Source organism: Homo sapiens, chromosome 4 (assembly GCF_000001405.40).
Source record: "Homo sapiens chromosome 4, GRCh38.p14 Primary Assembly".
In the NCBI taxonomy this organism is placed as follows: Eukaryota; Metazoa; Chordata; class Mammalia; order Primates; family Hominidae; genus Homo; species Homo sapiens.
Window position 1 is genome coordinate 11,714,322 of NC_000004.12, and position 25,132 is coordinate 11,739,453.

At 36.8% G+C, this 25,132-nt stretch overlaps 1 long non-coding RNA gene across 3 annotated transcripts in view; it reads left to right on the forward strand.

Annotated features, from left to right (window-relative positions):
* LOC107986178 (uncharacterized) overlaps positions 1–25,132 on the forward strand; it is a 245,894-nt gene that overhangs the window by 170,349 nt on the left and 50,413 nt on the right. For 2 of the 3 annotated variants that reach the window (NR_188484.1, NR_188485.1), the window contains exon 1: positions 8,139–8,294. The exons of the other annotated variant lie outside the window; for it this stretch is intronic. This is a non-coding gene — a long non-coding RNA (uncharacterized LOC107986178). Of the gene's footprint in view, positions 1–8,138; positions 8,295–25,132 lie in introns of those variants that run through there. 3 annotated transcript variants of the gene reach the window in all.

Below are 25,132 nucleotides of genomic sequence, written 5' to 3' on the forward strand. Positions count from 1 at the left end.
CCTTCAGATGCCCAAGAAATGGAGCATAAACATAAGGAAAACTTGGACCTGTGTGTACTTCTCATTAATACATAAAATATGATCTGTTCTTGGTCACTGTTTTCAGGCTCATATTGAATTTTTCTTTGTGTTAAGGAATATGGAATAGTCCTCTTCTATTTCCTCCTTTTCTTTTTCTTTTTAAATTGACACATTTTTATCGTACTTAAAATACGAGGTAAAATTTGATGTTTTGATACATATATAATGATTCAATTAGGATAGTTAGTGTACCTATCACCTCATTCATTGTTGTTTATTTGTGGTAAGAACATTCAAAAATTTCTCTTCTAGCTATTTTGTAATGTAAAACACTTTACTTTTAACAATAGTCACCCTACTGTGCTGCAGACCACCAGAAATGATTCGTCCTAATAGGAGGTTTGTACCTGTTGAACAGCCGTTCCCCGTTCTTCTTCCTCTGCCCCACTTCCCCATCTCTAGTAATCACTGTTCTGCATTCTGCTTCTTTGATTTCAGACTAAAAAACATTTATTTTAGATTCCACATATGAGTGAGATGAGGTATTTGCCTTTCAGTGCCTAGCTTTTTTTCACTCAGATGGTATCTTCCGGATTCATTCATGTTGTTGCGTTACAGAATTTCCTTGCTTTATATGGCTAAAGTAGTCCATTGAGTATATATACCACTTTTTCTTTATCCATGCATCCATTGTTGAACACTTAGGTTGATTCTATATCTTGGCCACTCTAAATAGTGCTGAAATAAACTTTTTTATTTTTAATACTTGAGGGTACATAGTAGATGTATATATTTATGTGGTACATGAGATATATTTATACAGGCATGCAATGTATAATAATCATGTAAGGGTAAATGAGATATCCATGACATCAAGCATTTATCCTTTGTGTTACAAAAAAAATCCAATTATACACTTTTATCTATTCTGAAATGTACAATAAATTATTATTGACTGTAGTCACCCTGGTGTGCTATCAAATATTAGATCTTGTTAATTCTATTCAACTATATTTTTGTACCCATTAAGCACCTCCACTTCCCCCAGTCCCCTACAAACACTACCGTTCCCAACCTTGGGTAACCATCATTCTACTCTCCATCTCCATGGGTTTGTTTTGATTTTTAGCTTCCATAAACAAATGAGAACATGTGAAGTTTGTCTTTCTGTTCCTGGCTTATTTCACTTAACATAACATCCTCCTGTTCTATGCGTGTTGTCTCAAATGACAGGAATTCATTTTATTTTTAATGGCTGAATAGTAGTCCATTGTTTCTATGTACCACATTTGTTATCTATTACTTCTGGATTTATTTTTCAGATTATTCAGTGTTGGCATGTAGAAATGCTATTGATTTTTGTATGTTGATTTTGTATTCTGCAACTTTACTTATTTGTTTATCTGTTCTAACAGGTTTTTTTGGTAGAGTCTTAAGTTTTCCCACATGTAAGATTACATCATCTGGCCAGGCGTGGTGGCTCACACCTATAATTCCAGCACTTTGGAGGCTGAGGCAGGTGGATCATGAGGTCAGGAGTTCATGACCAGCCTACCCATGGGCAGGGCCTGCTGAAACTCAGAGCCCACTTGTTGGGATGGATTATTCACTTCTGGCTAGGGCTTGTCTAAATTCTCCCTCAGTGGAAGGCAGCTGTGTCCTTCCCTGTGTTTCCTTCTACTGTGACAGGGCAGCACAGTGTTCTAATGGAAACTACCATAATCACTGCCCTCTCCCTTCTCCAGGTGAATAGATTCTCTCTCCACACCACATGGCTGCTGCCACGGAATGGGGATGGGGTGACATACGTGATTCAAGACTGTTTTTCCTACCCTCTTCAGTGCCTTTTTTCTTAATATAATGTTAAAACCAGGTACTGTGATGGCTCACCTGAACTTTGTTCCTTATGAAGGTATTTATTTGTGTGTGTAAATAGTTGTTAAATTTGGTATTCCTGCAGTGGAGACAATTGCTGAAGGCTTCTATTCAGCCATCATGCTCCACCTCCTCTGCTCCAGCTGCTTTCATTTTGAATTTATACACAGTAATGGGATTGCTTCATCATATGGTAGTTCTATTTTTAATTTTTTGAAGAACTTTCATGCTGTATTCCATAATGGTTATACTGGTTTATAATCCCACCAACAATATGTAAATGCATCCTTTTCTCTACATCCTTGCCAACACATGGTTTCTTTTGTCTTTTTGATAATAACCATTCTACCTGGAGTGAGGTAATATCTCGTTGTGGTTTTGATTTGCAATTCTATGATGATTTGTGATGGTAATCTTTTTTTTATACACCTTTGGCCATTTGTATGTCTCCTTTTGGGAAATGCCTATTAAGATATATTGGCCATATTTTAATTGACTTATTCTTTTTGCTGTTGAGTTTTTTAAGTTTTGTACATATTCAGAAAATTAAACCTTTGTCAGTTTCATAGTTTGAAAGATATTTTTTTCTATTCTATAGGTTCTCTTTCCTCTGTTGTTTCCTTTGCTGTATAAAATATTTTTAGTTTGATATAATCCCATTTGTTTAATTTTGTTTTCGTTGCCTTCCTTTTCATGTAAAATTTTAAAATTCTTTCCCAGTCCAATATTGTGAAACATTTCCCCTGTGATTTTTTTCTAGGACTTCTATAATTTCATGTCTTATAGTTAAGTCCTTAATTCATTTTTAACTGCTTCTTGTATGTAGTCAGAGGTAGGAGGCTAGTCTCACTATTCTGCATGTGTATATCCAATTTTCCCAGCACTACTTATTGAAAACACTATCTTGTCTTCAATATGTGTTCTTGGCTCCTTTGGCAAATATTAGTTGGCTATAAGTGCGTTCATTTATTTCCAGGCTCATTCATTTATTTCCAGGCTGTCTATTGTATTCCATTGGTCTATGTGTCTGTATTTATGTCAGTGCCCTGATGCTTGGGTTACTGTAGTTTTGTAATATATTTGGAAGTCAGAGGTATGATATCTGCAGCTTTTTTCTTTCTGCTCAGGATTGCTTTGGCAATTCAGGCTCTTTTGTTTTTCTAAATGAATTTTTGTATTGTATTTTATATGTCTGCAAAAAATGTTATTGGTATTTTAATACACATTGTGTTTTATATAGTTCGGTGCACCAGTGTTGGGTGTGTGTATATATATATATACATATACATATATATATGTATATGTATATATATATATACATATACATATATATATGTATATGTATATATATATACACAGATATATGTATACACACCTGTTATTTTTGTTGTTGTTGAGTTGCTCCTTTTATCACTATACAATGACTTGCTTTGTCTCATTTAATTTTTTTATTTAAAGTCTATTTTATCTGAAATGAGTATGGCTACTTCCTTTGCTTTTTGGTTTCCATTTGCATGGAGTATCTTTTCTTATTCCTTCACTTCAGTCTGTTTGTCTTTAATAGAGAGAGGAGTCTCTTATAAGCAGCATATAGTAAGGTCTTTAAGAAATTATTGGCCGGGCGTGGTGGCTCACGCCTGTAATCCCAGCACTTTGGGAGGCCGAGGCGGGCGGATCACGAGGTCAGGAGATCGAGACCATCCTGGCTAACACGGTGAAACCCCGTCTCTACTAAAAATACAAAAAATTAGCCGGGTGTGGTAGCGGGCGCCTGTAGTCCCAGCTACTCGGGAGGCTGAGGCAGGAGAATGGCGTGAACCCGGGAGGCGGAGCTTGCAGTGAGCCGAGATCGCGCCACTGCACTCCAGCCTGGGCGACAGAGCGAGACTCCGTCTCAAAAAAAAAAAAAAAAAAAAAAAAAAAAAGAAATTATTCACCACTCTGTCTCTTTTGGTTGGGAAATTTTATCCGTTTACATTCAGGTTTATTGTTGATAAGTAGAGAAATATTCCTCTCATTTTGTTAATTGTTTTCTGGTTGTCTTGTAGATTTTTGTTCCTCTTATTCTCTTGCTGTTGGCCTCTCTAATTTGGTGGTTTTCTGTATGCTCAGCTTTGTTTCCTTTCTTTGCTTCATCCATACATTGGCTGTAATTTCTTTCTTTATGCTTAACATGTGGCTAACGTAGAGTCTTGTAGTTATAATAGACTATTGTAAACCTATATGTTGTTGTTTTTACCATTTGACTTTAAATCTTCATACTAGAGGCCTGAAAGATTTACATAGCACCATAATATCACTGAAAACTTCTGAGTTTGATTTATGCATTTATTTCTATTGGTATTATACTTTCATGTGTGTTCATGATAGCAATTACATCTTTACTGAATATAGTACTATTGGCTGGCGTTTTTTTTTCTTTTGGCACTTCTAATATATCACTTTACTCTCTCTTGGCCTATAAGGTTTCTGTTGAGCCCCTGTACATGATTTCATGCTTTTCTCTTTAGCTTTTGGAATTATCTCTTTATCTTGTCTTTGACTTTTGGCAGTTTCATTATAATGTGACCTCAAGGGTAACTTTTTGAGTGCTATGTCTTTGTAGACCCTCACTTTTCCTGGATCTGAATGCCCATATTTCCCCAAGACTTAGAAAGTCTTTACCTATTATCTTATTAAACTGGTTTTTCATGCCTTTCTCCCTTTCATCTCCCTCTGACAATTCTATAGCATGAATATTTGTTTGCATAATGTTGTCCTAGAGGTCTTATAGTCTTTTTCATTCTTTTTAAATTGTTATTTTTTTTCTTTCTGACTGGGCTATTTCAAAAAACTTGTCTTTAACTCTAAAAATTCTTTCTTTTGTTTTATCTAGATTGTTATTGAAGTTCTCGATTGCATTTTTAAAATTTCTATTTTTGAATTATTCAGCTCCAAGACTTTTGTTTATTTTTATATAATACTTATCTCTGTTGCATTTCTCATTCAAATAATGAACTGTTTTCTAATTTCATTGAAATTTTGTTTATGTTCTCTTGTATCTCACTGAGTTTTCTGAAGATCATTATTTTAGAATTGTTTTTCAGGCACTTTGTAAATATCTTTTTCTTTGAGTTCTGTTACTGGAGACTTATTGTGCTCCATTGGAGATGCTATTTTTCCTTCTTTTTCCATGTTTCCTGTGTCTCTATGTTGATATCTATGCATCTAGTGGAAGGGTTGTTTTTTTCTAATTTTATGGAGTACATCATATGTGGGTCCTGTGGGTTCTTTGGGTATGGTGCATTGGCTTTGGTTTCAGTTGGACTCAGTAGTGTGGTCTCCATACAATTTCTTCTATTGTGATCCTCATTGGTGGTGTCTGGGATTGCCTCAATGACTTAAGCTACAGAAGTTCGTGATAGTGGTGACATGTTTTTGCTGGGGATGAGGGCACCAGGTTGGATTTCTAGCCCAGTGTAAGTGGGCATGGAGAGCCAACAGGCCATCTGGTGAGCTCTCTTTGTGGAGCTGGGTTACCACTGGACTGACTGTCGAGCTATGTATACACAAGCAGGCTGGCTAGTTGTGTGGTAGTCTTTCCAGAAAATCAGGGCAAGTGCGGTGGCATGGTTGACTGTTCAACAGCTTCCCTTCTATGCAGATCCACCAGTTTTCTGTGGAAAGGTTGTGGAGGTATTGTATAGATTTAGATGCTAGGATCTCAATAATTCTGTCAGATCCAAGCTGTAGGCAGCCAAGAGCATGGTGTTCCAGACATTCACGGAAATGTGATGGAATGACAGCAGGCACTCAAAGCTGAAAACAGTCAGTGGCCCCTGGTCCCCAGAGCAGGATACGCTTTAGTAGTTTGTCCGGTTTCAAGATGGCGCTGTGCCAGATCAGCTTAAGAGTGGAGGCAAAGGGTGCTCAATGTGGGCTCCTTTTCTAAGACAATGCAGCCACAAAACCTCTCAAATACTCTCCAAACTGGATTGGAGGCCTGTGAAGAATGGGAGACCCTCCTGAATAAAAGGAGGAAACAGTAGAGGGTTCTGGGGGAAAAAAAGACACAGATGGAGCAGCAAAAGTTACTGATAGATATCAGAATTCAGTCAAGAACTGAAAAAAACAAACCAAACAAAGTTTGACATAGAAGTAGGGAGAAAGATTTTATTGCTGTGTACAAAAGTTTCTCATTCTCTTGGAGACATAAGGGAACAAATTCCACTCTTGTGCCTTTTTCATAAAGCACGGAACTTTCAGGCTATAGACACAAACTCTTGGCCAGCACTCTCTCTAGTGGTGGACCTATGAACTACCCCTCTGCACTTTTCTCAATTCCATGAAAATGCAGAAGACATCCAGTATTTAATAGTTGTTTATTACATCTGGGGAAAGAGAAATACATCCATAATATTGCATATCCACATATAAAATATAGATGTATTCATATGTATAAAAATCCATACATATATATTATATATATCATACAAATATATTATATTATATTTATATAATATATCCAATATTTTGGATATGTGTGTGTGCATATATCATGCATATATATATATATATATGTATTTCCAATAAAGAAAGTAATTTCCAATAAAGTAAGCATTTCCAATAAAGACAAAATTATATCCATGAGATCCCACCTAATAGGAAGAAGTGGCCCCTGCAGAGAACAAACTTGCAAAAATGTTCAGGGACCCAGAAATCAATGATAAGGGAAAGGATCTGGAACAGGCAATGTATAATTTGCTACCTTGAATTCTGATAGTTCACATAAGCAGTCTATGCCTCAGTTTCCTTAACTGATCTATTTGGATTGATCATATGTCCCAGCTTGCCTGGGACAGTTTTGGTTATGCCAATTGTCCCATATAATTATTAAAAATTCTGATTTTACTCTCTAAAGTGTCCCATTTGGGTGATGAATGATATGGTCACCCTAGTTATGTGATCCAAGGGTACTTTTTATATACTTTCATGGGGAGAAACGATTAAGCATGGAGCAATTGAGGTACAGCCAGGGGTCAAGTGCTTGGTACTCAGTGCATTTTTAAACTAAGGTTTTGTCTGTGGAGCTAATTTCACCAATGATCGTTAAATGTCTCTTTGTATCTTCAACATGTTATGAAGATGAGAGAATGGAGAGAGTATAAGCTCTGGATCTTATCAAATTAATAAAGTTAATACTACCCAGAAAGCAGGAAAACCCTCTTGTATTACACATTTCTTTGCATTTTCTGGCCTCTTGAAATCCTTAAAAACATTTAAAATCTTTCACAAATAACTGAGAAACATTGACAGTTCCACTATATTATAAAAAGGTATGGAAAAGGACAGAAAGCAATGATAACGAATGCATCATAATTTGGGTTTGGGTTAAGCTGGGCATTCCTACAGCCACGCATTTTATTTCTATAAAAATACACATATGAAACAACTTTAATGTCAAATAACAAGTGATTGGAGGAGTGATTATAGAGCATCCATACAATGCAACATATTGCAGCCACTAAAAATGATAGCATGCAGTTATATTTATTGACATGGAAAAGAGCTCATAGCATACCATCAAGTGAAAAAAGCTATTGCTGACAAGCAGGTGCAATATTATTGTAAATTTATGTACAATTACATAATATATAGTTGTATGTGTTTACATGGTTTAGAAATGTCTAAAGTGTTCATCCACATATTAATAGTGATTATCTCTGGGTGGGGTGATTGCAGAGGACTTTTATTTCCTTTCTATTTTTTAAACAATGAACATGTTTCCTTTTAAAAAACATAAAACATACAATTTACATGAAATTACAAAAGGAATTTCTCTTAAACTATAATTCAGAGGTTGAAATACTTATGCACAGATGATGAGAATAGGCATTGATATACGAAAGCTAAATAGTCAGAACCTACACACAATTAGAGCTCTTTCTACCGTCAGTATCTGCGCCTTCCTGTAGCCCCATTTCTTGTAACTACCCCCCCAACACCACCAAGAAAAAACAGACCCTAAATGTAGCACCACAATTCCTGTGGTGCCAGTCTTAAAAAAGGTGCCAAATGGCCCCGTCCCCTGATTTAATACCTTTGTGCAAACCTGTCCCATCTCATGTGAGCTGGACTTGGTGACTAACTTCAGTCAATAGAATTAAACAGAAATCACATGCGTAAAATAGAAACTAGGTCATAAAAGTAGTATGACATCACCCGGAATCTCTCTATTGCTCTAGTTGTCATGTCAAAAAACTACTTAGACAGACTATGAAGAGATACATAGGGTGAGAAACGGAGGCCTTCAGCCAACAGCTGGGAGAAGCTGAGTCCCATCAGCCATTCAAAAGACTGCAGCCCCAGCCAAGAGTTTGATGTAACCTCAGGAGAGACCCTGAGCCAGAACCACCTAGGTAAGCCACTCCCGGATTCATGACCCACAAAATGATGTGGGATAATAGATGTTTGTTGCCACATGCTGGTAAATTTTGGCAAAATCTATTACAGAACAATGGATAATCAATACAGTTTTAAACTTATTTGAGAAGTTCTGTCTCAGGAACAAGTAGCTAAGGAACCCTAATCTCAGCCAGCCTTTCCTTCCATGCCAGGCTCACTTGCTTCTGCACTGATAAAAAGATTCCTTGAATCAGCTGTTATGTGGTGGTTTTTTTTCTTTAATATCAATCATGTTTCTTGTTCTTGGCACTTAGTATCCAAGTCGGATATCTCAAAGACAAGTGACAGTTGTTTTTAGGTTGAAACTTTGCCTGAAATAGGGATTCCAGATGCACTGCTTGTTCTGATCTCTGAGTCCTGACTGTTCTTGCATTTAGTTGGTACTTCCTGAATTTTCTGGGCAGAGACCCATGTACTACCTGGACATCTTCCTTTGGCCAGTGATACCACAGTACACATTTGTAAGCACCATTTCTCTAAAACAGTGCAAGTGGGGGGAGCATTTATTGACTGTCAGTGTTTTAGATATGACTTAATTTAATTATTCAAAATGCTCTGAAAAGTATTTTCATTTTATAGACAAACATTGAAGGTTCAGAAAGGGTAAAAAAATGTCCTGGATTATGGAGTTCGTAAATGCAAACTCATATTTTTAACTCATACATATTTGACTCGTATACGCATGTACTTAACCCAAATAATGCATGGTCTCCCTAACAAATAGTTCTTTGTGGTAAGCCAAGGGGGAAAAAATCTTTCTGACAGCCTCCTTAGCTGCTTCCCTGAGATCCTTTCACCTGTATATTCATTCCTCTTCAGTGGTCATGATGTGTCTGGAGTTGGTTCCTTCCGGTGGGTTCTTGGTCTCTCTGACTTCAAGAATGAAGCCGAGGACCTTCGCAGTGAGTTTTAAATCTCTTAAGGGTGGGACGGACCCAAAGAGTGAGCAGCAGCGAGATTTATTGTGAAGAGCAGAAGAACAAAGCTTCCACAGCGTGGAAGGGGACCCAAGCGGGTTGCCGCTGGGTCCGCGGCTTCATTCTTGAAGTCAGTGAGACCAAGAACCCACTGGAAGGAACCAACTCCGGACACAGTGACAAACCTGACCACAGCAAGGAAAACATTACTATTATTCATGCCACTGGCAGGTGGGGTCTGGAATTGTTTTGCATGACACTTTCCCGGTAGATGCTCCTCCTGGGCCTATTCTAGTATATCACTATGCTACCTGTCCACCAAAGTTTATCCACGTGCAGCTTCTTCCTCAGCTTTACAGTAGGGACTCTGTTCCCCTGCTAGGACGGAAGTCTTCCATGTCCCAATCACCTGATTTAAAACTCTGACAAGCTATATGGCCAAGTCCTTTTCCTGGGTGGGTATTGACCTTGGCTTCCAGACACCTTTCCCCCTTGATTTATTTCCAAGAATGAACAAAGAAGAGCAGATCAGGTACAAATAGACACAATCGTAATATTGTCACTGACTGCAGCTTCTGTGTAGTTCTATCCCACACACTGTATTCATTATCCCTTTATCATCTTGGGGTCATTTTCATCGCATTAAACCCCTAAACTAATTGTCCTAAACTTTAGTGTGCATGAGATTCACCTACTCCACTACTTCTTGCTTCTACGAACTTGGAGAAGACAAAGTTCTTATCTAATCCTCAGGTTCTTTTTGTAGTGGTGATTTTTAATGAGAACTATCCTATAATGTGGCTATAAAAATTAAATGAGATAATCCATGGGAAGCATTTGGTATGCCTCAAGACAAATAGCAAATGATAGTGTTCTTTGTTATTAAAAGGCACAGGTGGGGACTTCAGATGCCCATTTTTAATAAGCAACTCTAGCGATTACAACACAAATTGCCATTAGAGCATACTATAAGAATTACTAACAGAATATAACTAAATCTTGTTTGGTTATTTTGATATTATTGATCTTATGCATTCTCTAGTTTCTCTTCTCCTTAACCTTTGCATCTAACTCACCAGGGAATGTTCTCTCTCTTTTCAGAATTTTCCGCTTTATTTCTGAGATGCTAAATGTCTCTCGCAAGAGATTTTATTTATTTTTTATTTTTTTTATTTTTTTCAGACTGACAACCTGGCAATAGTGACTGCATGGAAAGTGGCCTGCAGCTCTAACCCATATTCCATCAGAGCCCTTTCCTCTAGAGTTAGTCCATAATCTGTATTGGCTGTTGTTTTTTCCATATCCACTCATATAACAAATATTTCAGGATGTAAAGTACATCTTTTTCTGGAATAAGAGCCCAAAGATTATGAGCTACTTGTTAGTCATGGAAATGTCTGTGGTTTAGTATTAAATTTCAAGACAAACAAAAGGCACTTCCATTTTGGTTATGATGGATAATGGATTTTGGAATTATTCTTTGCTTGTACAAACAACAGTGGCATGAAAAATGGGACAAATAAATGGAACTAGTTTAGGTCTTGGCAACAGAGATCTCAGAATGCATGTTGTTTTTAAATGTCAGAAACATTCATCACGATAGCCCTTATATTGGAAAATAAAATGTTACAATAATCTTTAAAATTAAAGCAAACATAGTGACTATAATAAAATTGCATTAGAAGCCAATTAAATATTTCTAAAAAATACCCAAAATATTTAGTAATAAGTTGGAAAAAAGCAATAATCTGTAATAGTATTATTTATAATTAAATCAATATTAAATACTAAATAATGCAAGATAAAATAATAATTACATATAATTTCCAATAGTATAAAATGACTATAATATTTAGATAAAATTTGTGGAATTAAGCTGAAGTATTGCTTGGAGAAAAATCTATAACTTCAAATGACTTGATTAAAAAAGAAGAAAGGTTTAAGATTAATAATGTAAGTTTAAACATTAAGAAACTAGGAAAAGAAAGGTAAATTGATATTAAATAAAAGGAAGGAAATAATAAGGATAAAAATAAAAACACATATACAAGAATAGCAAATAGTCAACAAAAACAAAACGTCATCCATTGAAAGGACCAATAAGATTAATACACCTCTAGATTAAATGATCAAGAAAAGAAAGAGAGAAAACGCAAATTATCAATATCAGGAATGAAGGAGAAAACATCTCCAAGAATTCTAACAATATTACAAGAATCTGAAAAGATAATTATGAAATCTTTTGTGCCAATAAACTCTTCAACTTAAATTAAATAGAAAAATTCCCTAAAGTCATATTCTCAAAACTGTCTCAAGACAAAATAGAAAAAGCTGTGTGCCTATTAAAGAAAGCTAGTTTCTAGTTAAATATATTTTAGTCAAGGAAACTCTAGGCATACATAGCTTCCTTGATATATTCAGGCAAATATTTAAAGTACTGCATATCTGTTTTTAAGAAGATAGAGAAGGAAGCACTTTCCAATTCATTTTTTGTACTATCATTACTGTGACAGCAAAACCAGACAGGTATTACAATGAAGGAAATCTCGAGACGGATCTCTCTCAGGAGCAGATGCAAAAATTCTTAACAAAATAAATATTAACAAATCATATCTGATAATAGACTGTAATCAAGTCACATTTATTCAAGGCATGCAAGGTTGGTTTAACATTGCAAAGTGAATCAATATACATTACCATATTAACAGATTAAGAAAATAATGTATTTAGTCATTTCAATAAATGCAGAAATATTATTTAATACAAATTCTCAGCAAACTTAGAATAAATGAGGACTTCCTCAGCCTGATAAAGACATGTATAAATAATCTTCAGCTAAGATCTTATTTAATAGTGAAACCAAAATAAAAAACAGGAAAATAATATCCATCCATTAAGAGGGATATTGCTTTCCCCATTGTGTTGGAGCACCTGTCCAGTACAATAAGAAAACAAACAAGCAAACAAATAGTATGTGTAGTTTTTGCAATAACATAAAGATGATAAAGGTTAGGAATAAGCTAAGGGATAGATTTATAAGAACTTAATAAAAAGTATAAAGCATTGCTGAAATAAATTTAAAAACTCAAATAAATGCAGAAATATACCATATTCACAGTTTTGAAGATTGAATATTGTTCCTGGGTTGGTTCTTTTCAGAATGATAAATAGATTTTGTACAACACTCATAAAATTACAGTAGAGTTTTGCCACAGTGATTTGAAAGTCATATGTTCATTGTAAAAGTCATGTATTAATTTCAAAAGTTATAATTGCCAAAACTGTTTTAAAAAGGAAAAAAATTGAATTTAATATAAAGCTTCAGTGATCAAGGGAGTGCGAATTTTGCATAAAGATAAACAAATAATAGATTAACGTAACAGATTATAGTTTCTACAAATATACCTATAATTATCAAGTTAATTCTCAACAAAAGGCAACAAACCAATTCAATGAAGAAAATTAACATTTTAAATAAGTTATGTAGAATCAAATTGATAGCCCTAGGGAAAAACTATTCTCAACCGTTGGTTCATCCTAGGTGCAAGAGTAAATTTGAATGGATCTGATGCATTAATTTTAAGGTTAAAATTATGGTTTCTAGAGGAAAACAGGAAAGACATCTTTGTGATCGAGACAAAGTAGAAAAAGACTTTTTTGAAATCACAGTTCCATAAAACATTAAAAAGTGATGAATTGAACTTTATAAAAATTAAATTCCACAGTTCATCAAATGAATCTTTATAAAATTAAAATGTATCATTAGCACAGATATCTGAGAAAGGACTTTTTCCAGAAAAAAAGAACTCCTGCAATTTAAAAAAAGGGGAATGATACCTAAAGCCAATAAGCACATTACATTTTTTAATGTGCTCAGCATTATTAGTCAAAAGGGAAATACAAATTCAAATCAAATTATGATATCATACAAATCCACAGGAATAGCTAAAGCCACTACACCAAAATGCTGATGAGAATGTGGAGCTATAAAAACTGTTTTGTTTTTTTTTTTGAGAATGTAAAACATTATAAGCATTTTGCAGTACTCTGGTAGTTTCTTACAAAGGTAAATATTCAGTGATCAAACTATTCCACTACTAGTTATTTAAACAAGAGAAACCAAAACAAATACCACAATAAGACTTTTATGAGAATGTTCAGAGCAGCTTTATTCATAATATAAAAATAAAACTAAAAATAATTCAAATATCTATTAACAAGACAATGAATAAATAAAGGATGATATATTTATAAAATGAAATACCATTCAGGAATATCAATATTTGTATGAATGAAATGACATGGGTGAATCTTAAAAACGTGATGTTGAGCTAATACATTCTGACCAAAACAGTACGTATTGTAAGATTTCATTTATTTGAAATTCTATTATAGGCAAAGCTTAATTTATGGAGATAGAAATCAGAGTAGCAGTTGCCCCTGGGTGGGAGTTTGAAGCCAGACTGCCTTGGGATGTGGCAGAGAGTCCAGGCTTTCCGAGATGTTGCAAATGTTCTCTTCTGACTGGGGAGAGGTTATATGAGTATATGCATATGTTAAAACATATTGCAATGTAAATTTAAATTCTGTGTATTCCACTCTATGTAACTATATTGGTGTACTTACTCTGTCATAAGAGAATACCATAGACTGAGTGGGTTAAACAACAGAAATTTATTTTCTCACGGTTCTGGAAGTCAGAAGTTCAAGAACAAGGTGCCTTCAGAGTTGGTGTCTGATGAGGCCACTCTGTCTGACCTTTGCTGTGTGCACACTAGGGAGAGAGAGAGCTCTAGTATCTCTTCCTCTTCTTCTAAGAACACCAGTTCTACTCAGTTAGGGACCTACTTTTATGACCTCATTTTACCTCACCTTCTTAAAGACTGTACCTACAAAAATCAAAAAAGAAAAAGAAAAAAACTTTATCTTCAAAAAAGTCACACAGAGAGCTAGAGGTTCAACATATGAATTTAGGAGAGACACAATTTAGTTCATGGCAGTAACTTATAGACTTAAAATGGAAAAAAAAGGCAGCGAAAAGATACATTTATGTTCTAAGGGAAGTTTCATTTCTAGTTATATTAAAACTAAACATTATTATTATTATTTATTACTATTATTTGAGACAGTGTCTCACACTGTCGCCCAGGCTGAAGTACAGTAGTGCGATCTAGGCTCACTGCAGCCTCCTCCTCCTGGGTTCAAGCAATTCTCCCACATCAAGTTCCCTAGTGGCTGGGACTATAAGAATGCACCACCACACCTAGCTAATTTTTGTACTTTTTGGTAGAGACAGGATTTCACCATGTTAGCCAGGCTGGTCTCAAATTTCTGACCTTAGGTGATCCACCTGCCTTGGCCTCCCAAAGTGCTGGGATTACACACGTGAGCCTGGCCCTAAATATTAAAAATTAAAATACACTTTATTTCTAGTGATATAAAAATTAAAGTGATAAAACATCCAGGGTCACATATTTATCAAGTATAGTAACAAATGCTCTGAAGAATCAGTCAAAGGAAGCCGATTAAGTAGCTTGAATTCAACACAATTGAGCTGTTTCCACTATGCTGGTCTTACTGGCAATGACACTTTAGTTAAGAATGGAGTGAGGTAGATTACCTTTAAGTGAGGCTTTGATTTTGCCAACTTAATACAGAGCCGCATCTACGACCATAAATTATACCTCTCATTAATCCATTTGTCCTTCTGACATATTAGAATGATTTTTCAAGATTCCACATCAATCACACACCTTCATGTATTACATATGTGACAAATTACTATTTGATAAAATCTAATTTAACTCCATACAGTCAATGTTCCATAGGAAATAAGCTCTTGAAGGCTGGGCAAAATTGAGAAGCTTGAAATATTATTATATGTTTTTTTCCTTCTACTCCATGGGGATCATTGTGTAAAGACCCATAGGAAATGCTTTCCCAGATGTCCTCCCAGGAATATCTCCTGTACTACAACTGGAAAAAGTAATATTCTTTCTTCTATCTTTGCATTAAACATATATTGAGCATGTTTTCTCTTTCTAAGCACTGCCAGTAGGTGCTGGTCATAAGAAATAAACACAAGTAATTTTAGCCACGAGAACACTCACACACCCATCATTCCATGAGATGTGGTGGTTTCCAGCAGAGACAAGATTGTGAAACTGTGTCTTGGGCTAGTGAGGAAAATAGATGTGTGAACTTTGACTGTTTGAGTAAACTGCAGTTTACTTGGTAGAGGTAGAGTGAACTTTGACTGTTTGAGTAAACTGTAGTTTACTTGGTAGAGGTAGAGTCAGAAATGGCAAGAAAATCCCAGGTGCAAGGAATAGCAGTGAAGCTTTTAAGACTTAAAAAGAGCATGGAGCATTTCTAGAATTTGGTGGCTCTGTGTGCCTTTGTGGAAGACAAGATGGGAAAGGTAGGGAGAAGACAGAATATGTTGAACAGTGTTGAATATCATGCTTTCGTTCTTCTAGACTTTAGTGAGCTTAAGAGAATTTTTAAACTGAATTGTATCATTAGATTTTTCTCTCAGAAAGGCTGGAGTCCCAACTATAAGGAGGGTGGGGGGAAGGGATCTAGCTATAAAACCACTGTCATTGGGAAATTGGATTACATAGAGGCCAGCACTAAGGTTGTTTGCAATTATTTTATTGATTGCTTTAATACTTAGTAGACCACAAGGAATCAGCTAATGAGATAGTTACAAGGAGTATACAGAGAACACATTGACATCTCGATAATCTAAGAGCATATAACCCATTAGTGGAGGCAGACAGGTGAATGAGTACTTAAAAATATCAGGGGCATCTTGACATTTTTTCACGATCACTTTATTTCCAATGTCTTCGGTGAGCAAAATAATACCAACTTCTCACCTTTATTAGGCATTTTGTAATTTCCAAAGCATGTCCACATACATTTTTTCACTTGAGCTTCACAAAAGCCTCTGTAATGGAGGAAGTTATCCTAGGAAGAAACTGGGGCTTATACAGAGAAAATGATTTGCATAACAGCCTAAGAGTAGTCAGGAACAGAGTTGAAGCCAGAATGTAGTATTTATTCCAGTGCACTGCACAGCTTCTCTGTGAACTCTAGTTCAGTATTTACAATCATCTTCTTTATTTGTTTTGAATCTTCAAATCCTGATTGTTTACCCAGCAGGTCCATTGGCCCTCTCTGACCTCTCCTTTCCCATGGGTGTGCTGGTGACTGTCAGTCTTCTAGAGCTATACTGCTGTCCAGCCCTGCTCCATATTACTTTGTGTCTTCCCGATTCCTGTTTGTATCATCAGCCTCTGACCCACAACTTGAGCATCCCAAATCCTTGGGCCTATCTTGTGCTCCATTTGACTGTCTCCTTCTTACACCTGGACTTGACCTACTTGAAGAAAATTTTCAAGGGGTAGAGAATTTCTCCTCGAGATCAATATTTTGTTTTAACTCTAAGCCTAGGTACTCGGATTCAATCAGGTCTTCTTCTTTTGTTAATGGATCTAAAGTGCAATTGTATTATTTATAATCCTTGGCCATGCAATGTATCATTGGTCCATGGATTACACTTTTTCAAATTTTCAAAAAGTGATTACAATTAATTTGAAATAATGTCATAAACATCCATGAATCCACAGTTAAGGAAGAACATTAACAATAACTGTATAGGGTCCTCTTGCATTTATTTTTCTTATGTAACCCCATCTCAAGTAACCACCATCCAAAATTCTCTGTGCATCATTTCCTTGTTTTCCTATTTGTGTGTGGCATTTCAAGCAAGCACTTGTTTGTTAATAGTTGTGTTCAACTTTATTTTTAAAAAGGATTTACAGCATACATAATATTTTTCAAAGTATTTTTAAAATTTGAATATATTTTTGTAATTCATCTATACTGTTCATTATTATTATACCACATTTATTTTTAGGGCCATAATAGTAAATATACAACAGTTTATTCATCTCATATCCTCTCTATTGGCATTAGGTTGTTTATAGGTTTTTGTTAGTTTCAAAGATTTTGTGCATGATAGTGGACACATATCTGGTGAACCTGTTTAAAAGGTTCCCTTGGTTCTACATGTAGAAGTAAAATATGTACTTTTCTCAGTATTTGAATATACAAGTTTACAATACTCAGCTATTTTCTTAAGAGATTCAGCCAAGTTTACATATCAACCAGTAATAGATAAGATATGCTATAAATTTGTATCTTTCTAGCATCTGATATTGTCAGACTTTTGAAATTTCACTAACCAACTGACTGTAAAATATAGTAGCACATCATGGTCTTAAACTGCATCTTTCTCAACACTAATGGAGCTGGATATACCCTCATATTCTACAAACCATACATATTTTTATATTTTATGACAAACTTATTCAAACTGTCCATATTTCCCTGGGGTTTGTGTTTTTCTTTTAAACTTGTATAAGTTCTTTATATAGTCTTTGTTGTGTTTATTAAATATGCTTTCTCTCAGCTTCTAGCTGATCTCTGAAATAAATATGATGTACTGTATAAAGACTAGTTTGGAGAAAAACTGTGTCATAAATTTTAGTGTTAACACTTATTCAATGTGTGACCTGTGGTTATTCAGCACCTCTTGACTTAAGTTGTATGTTAAGTAGTCAAAAATTCATGCTGCTAGTGATAATTAGGAATCAAATAACATTGCTGAGCTCTTATTATATGCCAAACACTGTGCCAGGCCCTCGGTTAGGGAGAGGTGACACATTCTCTGACCTCGCCCATGAGTATGGTGTAATGAGAAGCGGATGAACAAACAATTATTGTGAACTGTAATAGTGTGACGCAGTTGATAAGCACAGGTGCTGTAGAAGCTTGAATCCAATCTAAAACAAACTTTGCAAGAAAAGGCTGGCAGCATGGCCATGTATTTATTCAAGCATACATGCATTCATTTACCAAACATACAATGAATACCAACTCTGTGTCAGATACTTTGCTAAGTACTATAAGTGTTATAAATGGAATTCACATGAATTAGAAAATGGCTAACTTTTGGGGAAAAGAGAAAATAAAGTGTTAAAGAACTCCCAGGTTTTTACCTGTGTGAACTGTGTTTATGCACAAGGGGTTGTCTCTACTTTAGGCTTTAATCTCACCTCCTATTACTATTAAAAGCTCATTGGTCCTACTAAATTATCAGCTTGTTAATAAAATTAATATGGAAGATTATATTTTTATTCTCAATTTTTTACTCCTTTTCTGCAATAAGATTAAACAATTGGGTCGCCTGACATGTGACTTACCCTGTGACATTGACCTTGGCCATATGACATACTTTGGTCAATTAGGTGTGAGCACATATTTTTCTTGTCAGAGACAGTGCTTTAAGTTTTATTGCATTTTGTGGCTCAATGTCCTTGAGTTTCTGCCCATGGTCCATGGCAGGAATTCTCCTGCAGTTTGGGTGCACACATAGAGCATTTCTTAACAAAGCCTCTGCCAATCTGCCCCCCACTGGCAGAACACCCTAAAACCTTGATGGATTCCTGCTTACTTTTCCCATCAGTTGAAATGTTAGCGACTGCAGAAAGTCTTTGCCATACCCACTGTATATCTTCCCACTCTCCCTTTAGACTGAGTGCTCCTTAAAATCAGGAACCTGTTGATATCATTTTTCTGTCATTGTCCACCAGCCAGTGTTTGATACGAAGGAGGTATTCTGCAAAGAGTTGTTGAATGAGTGTATGAATGAGAGGCCTGAGATTCCCAAGAGAGAGGACTTGGAGTCTCATGGACAAACTTTTTCACACACATTCGCTCCTGACTATTGAGTTTTATGAATATTTTAGTAATCTACAGAAAAAAAGGTAATTGTGGCTGGGTTGACTTCGGGAATCATTGCATAACAGAATTTTTCTAAAAAATGCACCCTTGAAAGATTTTGTCATAATAAACACATCATAGCAATAATAATTTTGCATAATTTTACTTTTTGATCATTTAATTATTTCATTCCACAAATATTCATAGAGTGACTCTTATGTACCAAGTTTTTCATTTTACAATTGAAATAACTGAGTACCTAAAAAGGAAAAAGACTTGTCTTGTTCGAGATTAATAACTCTGAATTGTAGCTTAATGATCTCTGGGGGATAGGGGACTCCCTGAAAACAAATTAAATTGTGGTTGTTCTGGAAGACCCTAGTTCTTCTTCCTCCAGGTTTCACGTTCAAAAATGGAAGTGGATTTTGTACTGAGACAGATCAGAACTCTAGTGCATTTGTACATGTGTGTGAGAGTGTGTGTGTGCATGTGTCTGTGTGTCTCTGAGTATGTAACCATGTGTGTGAGTGGGTTTGGCCATCTGTGTGTAAGTGTGCATGTGTGTGTGACCCAAAATCCAGGAATTCCACCCTGCTGAGCAAAATGTATTTCATCAGTATTTATTCATACATACTACTGAAATTTGAACTGTCTTTTGAAGTTGACAAAGTATTTTAAAATTTATTATATTTTGCTCTAGGCAGAGGTATTCTAATCTTTTTCATTTCAGAAAAGGTAACCAAAGCAAATATAATGACTACCATGGATTCAGAAATGTCAGCGTGCCAGGCTCTGATCACAGGGCTTTGCAGATTTTTAACTCAGCTAACACTCATATCAACTATGTAATATAGACTCTATTGATATATATTCACCCTCTTATGTTAATATCATAACCAATTAATATCACCCACATTTATCTGGTGAGGAAACTGAAACATAATGTATTCAGTAACCTGCCTCAGGCCACACACATAGCTGGTAAAATGTGGTACTGTGATTTGACCTTGGCACTCTGTCTCCAGAGCGAAACTGAACTACTCCAAGATACTAGTGATGCTTCATCCATCATTTCCCAACCTGTAGGTGGAAGATCAAACTTCTGACTTAAAATTTGTAACTTTTCTCGTCCTTTTTTAAAGTCTCATATCCCTGCTAACATTTTTGTTTACAAAGCACATTTACCATAATTCATTTATTTATAGAACAACAGATGGGTGAAACAAAATTACCTTTCTTCAGTTCACAGATTAAAAACTGGGATTCAGGCTCAGAATATTCAAGAGGCTTACCTGGGGTTATACCGGCAGTTAACAGCAGACCTGAGACCAAAACCTAAGACACACAAGATGCAGGGATCCTCAACTCATATGACCTCTGTGGTCCACGTGCTTATTTTGAGTTCTGCTATTCATAGTGAGCTATGTTTACGGATGTCTTAACCAGTGTGGGCTGCTGTAACAAAGTCTCATAGACTGAATGGCTTATAAACAACAGATATCTGTTTCTCACAGCTCTACAGGCTGGAAATCCAAGGTCAGCATACCAGCATGGTCAGATTGTCATGAGGGCCCTCTTCCAGATCACAGATGGCCACCTTCTTGTAGCCCCACATGGAAGGAAGGAAAGAGAGCTATCTAACTCCTCAGCCTCTCCTTATGAGAGTACTAATCCCACTGATGAGGGCTCTACCCTTGTGACCTAATTACCAGCCAAAGGCCCCACCTCTGAATATCATCACATTGGGATTAAGGATTCAACATATATGAATTTGGTGGTGAGGAATACAAACATTCTGTTCATTGAGACAGACACGGTATAATTTCTAACTTTACCTTAATAAAAAGATAAATAAACCAAAGTGACCCAGAATGTCTTAACAAACAAGCCATGACCATTGTGCCACTGGGGTCTTAGAGCAGATGTCATGGAAATAGGCCAGATGTAAGGTGATTGCAGTATTTGGAGATACATAACTGAAAATAACACTTGCAGCCCCCACGCACCCAGAAGTTTGTATCTCAAAGCAAATAGAAACAATGGAATGTTCACAGTGCTGACAGCCAGAGCGATAAAGGCTAACACAGGGAGCAGGGGAGACCCTTATTGGAATTCAGTAGCAGAGGTTTTGATAGGCACCATTTAATTAAATATATTATATCAGACCCATGGACTGTTAATTCTTTTGTAAGTTAGTTCAACTTCCATGTCAGGTAAAATGTGGCTCTTTTTTGTATTGGGATCATAGGCCAATCCATATCATGTATCAGTTATCTATAATTAACATTAATTGTGACAAGCTGTACTGTTGTTATCTAAAGTTATAGGACTATTATACAGCTTTGTTGAAGTTGCACAGCCAATTCAAGAGTAGCTTTAATTGCTAATGAATGTAGTTCCTTTTTTTCAGTCATTTTTCTCTTACACCACTAGCCATACAATCTATTAGTCATTCCAACTACAAATTCCAAACCTAGATTTCTGTGTTGCCTGACATTTTTCAGAGCTTGTCTGTAGGTATTTTCTCACAGTCTTCTACAAAAGACTTAGAAATAGATATCACTGTTTCCCTTTTAAAATTTAAGAATTCCCTTTTAGAATTCCTAAGGCTGGAGAAATATAGATACTTGCCTGAGGTCACATGGAGAATGCAGCAGAATCTGATCAGGATGCAGGAGAATTTTAACTCCAACTTGAGACTTTTTCTTCTGTCACACATGGGGTCCTGATTAAAAACAAAAACAGAAACAGAAACAGGCAGACAATTCTTCCAATGCCTGAATATACAAAATGCAAATATATACAAAGATGCCTCTATATACAAACACGTAAAGAAATTTGGATTCTTCCCTACTATGCTCATATTATCTCAGAGCTAGCTGACTCTGTTAATGCCTCTCTATTAATCCTCTTATTGACTATAGGATAAAATAAAGCCCTTACTCCTCAACCTGACTTTTACCATCTGAACCATGTCTATTTCTGCAGTCTTATCACCAACTCTTTTCCTGTACTCACTGCTCCTTCCATCACATAGGATGACTTACAATTTCAAACCATGTCCATGTTCTTTAGTAATTCTGCCTGCATTGTTCCTCCAGACAGCCTTGCAATCCCTTTTCCATATGCTTGGTTAAAACTTACTGTTCATGATTACTCAGATCATATGTCAACTAATTAAGTATACCCTTTGGATTCCATCTTTGTGCCATATATAGTGGTAGGCCGGGGCGTTCAATCTTTTGGTTTCCATGGGCCACATTGGAAGAAGAAGAACTGTCTTGGGCCACACGTAACATATATTAACACTAAAGATAGCTAGTGAGTTAAAAAAAATTACAAAAAAAGACCACATAAACTTTCAAGAAAGTTTATGAATTTGTGTTGGGCCACACCCGAAGCCATCCTGGGCCACATGCAGCACACGGGCTACAAGTTGGACAAGTTTGTGCTAGGCACTGAAGGTCTAGATAGAGTGACCAATTGACCTAGTTTGCCAGGAACTGAAGGAGCTTCTGGGTTAAAGAATGTATAGTGCTAAAAATGTAATAGTCCTAGGCAAAAAGTTGGTAACCAATATCTAGAGGACAAATTGACTCCTCAATTTCATTCTCTCATCCCTAGGCATTGAGATATTGCCTCTTCTGGGTTGCCTGGTTCCTGTCTCTGCATTTATCTTATTGCTTTAATTATTGGTGTATCAACTGTCCACTTCCCAAAAATATGTGTGATATGGTTTGGGTTGGCTCTGTATCCCCACCCAAATCTCATCTTGAAATGTAATTCCTACGTGTCCAGGGAGGGTCATTATGGGAAGTGATTAGATCATGGGGGCGGTTTCCTCCATGCTGTTCTTATGATAATATGAAAGCTCTCATGAGATCTGATGGTTTAAAAAATAGCAGTTTTCCCTGTGCTCTCTCTTTCTCTCCTGTTGCCTTGTGAAGAAGGTTCTTGCTTCTCCTTTGCCTTCTGCCATGATTGCAAGTTTTCTGAGGCTTCCCCAGCCATGCAGAACTGTGAGTCAGTTAAGCCTCTTGTATTTGTAAATTACCTATTCTCAGGTAGTATCTTTATAGCAGTGTGAAAATGAATTAATACAGAGAATTGGTAACAGGAGTAGGATACTGCTATAAAGATAACCTGAAAATGTGGAAGCAAATTTGGAACCAAGTGACAGGCAGACGTTCGAACGGTTTGGAGGGCTGAGAAGAAGACAGGAAGGTATAGGAAAGTATGGAACTTCTTCAGACTTGTTGAATGGTTTTGACCAAACTGTTAATAGTGATATGGACAATGAAGTCAAGGCTGAGGTGGTGTCAGATGGAGATGAGGAAGTTGTTGAGAAATGGAATAAAGGTAATTCTTGTTATGCTTTACCAAAGAGAATGGCAGCATTTTGCCCCGGCCCTACAGATCTGTGGAAATTTGAACTTGAGATAGATAATTTAGGGTATCTGGCAAAAGAAATCTCTAAGCAGCGAAGCATTCAAGAAGTGAGCTGTATTGTTCTGAATGTTTTCAGTTATATGCATTCAAAAAAAGATGGTTTCAAATTGGAACTTATGTTTAAAAGCGAAGCAGAGTATAAAGGTTTGGGAAATATGCAGCCTGACTATAAAGAAAAAACTCATTTTCTGGGGAGGAATTCAAGCTGGTTGCAGAAATTTGCATAAGTAATAAGGAGCCAAATGTTAATAGCCAAGTCAATGGGGAAAATCTCTCCAGAGCATGTCAGAGATCTTAACAGAAGCCCCTCTTATCACAGGCCCAGAGGCTTAGCACGGAAAAATGGCTTTGTGGGTTGGGCCCAGGGCCCTTCCTCTCTGTGCAGCTTTGGAGCTTGGTGCCCTGCACCCCAGCCACTCCAGCTGCAGCCATGGCTAAAAGGGGCCAAGATACAGCTCAGGCCGTTGCTTCAGAGGGTGTAAGCCCCAAGCCTTGGTGGCTTCCATGTGATGTTGCGCCTGTGGGTGCACAGAAGACAAGAGTTGAGCTTTGGAAACCTCTGCCTAGATTTCAGAGGATGTATAAAAATGCCCGGATGTTCAGGCAAATGTCTGCTGGAGGGGTGGAGCCCTCATGGAGAACCTCTGCTAGGGCATTACAAAGGGGAAATGTGGGGTTGGAGCCCCAATATTGAGGTTGCATGGGGGCACTGCCTAGTGGAGCTGTGAGAAGTCTGCCATACTGCAGACCCCAGGATGGTAGATCCACCGACAGCTTGCACCATGTGCTTGGAAAAGCCACAGGCATTCAATACCAGACCATGAAGGCAGCTGCAGGGGCTGTACCCTCCAGAGCCACAGAGGCAGAGCTTCCCAAGGTCTTGGGAGTCCACCCCTCGCATCAGTGTGCCCTGGATGTGAGACATGAAATCCAAGGAGATTTGGGAGCTTTAAGACATAATGACTGCCTGGCTGAGTTTCAGACTTGCACGGGGCCTCTGGCTCCTTTGTTTTGGCCAATTTCTCCCACTTGGAAAGGGAACATTTACCCTATGCCTGTACCCCCATTGTATCTTGGAAGTAACTAACTTGCTTTTGATTTTACAGGCCCATAGGTGGAAAGGACTCTCCTTGTCTCAGATGAGACTTTGGACTTAGACTTTTGAGTTAATCCTGGCTTGAGTTAAGATCTTGAGGGACTGTTGGGAAGGCATGATTGGTTTTCAAATGTGAAAAAAAAAATGAGATTTTGGAGGGGTCAAGGGCAGAATGATATGGTTTGGATCCGTGTCCACTCAAGTCTCATCTCAAATTGTAATCTCCATGTGTCAATGGAGGAACCTAGTGGTAGGTGATTGGATGATGGGAGTGGTTTCCCCCTTGCCATTCTTATGATAGTGAAGAAGTTCTTGTGAGACCTGATGGTTTTAAAAATGGCAGTTTCCTCTGTGCACTCACTCTTTCTCCTGCTGCCTTGTGAAGTAGCTCCTTGCTTCTCCTTTGTGCTATGCCATGATTATAAGTTTCCTGAGGCTTCCCCAGCCATGCAGAACTGTGAGTCAATTAAATCTCTTTTATTTATAAATTACCCAGTCTCAGGTACTATCTTTATAGCAATGTGAGAATGAACTAATA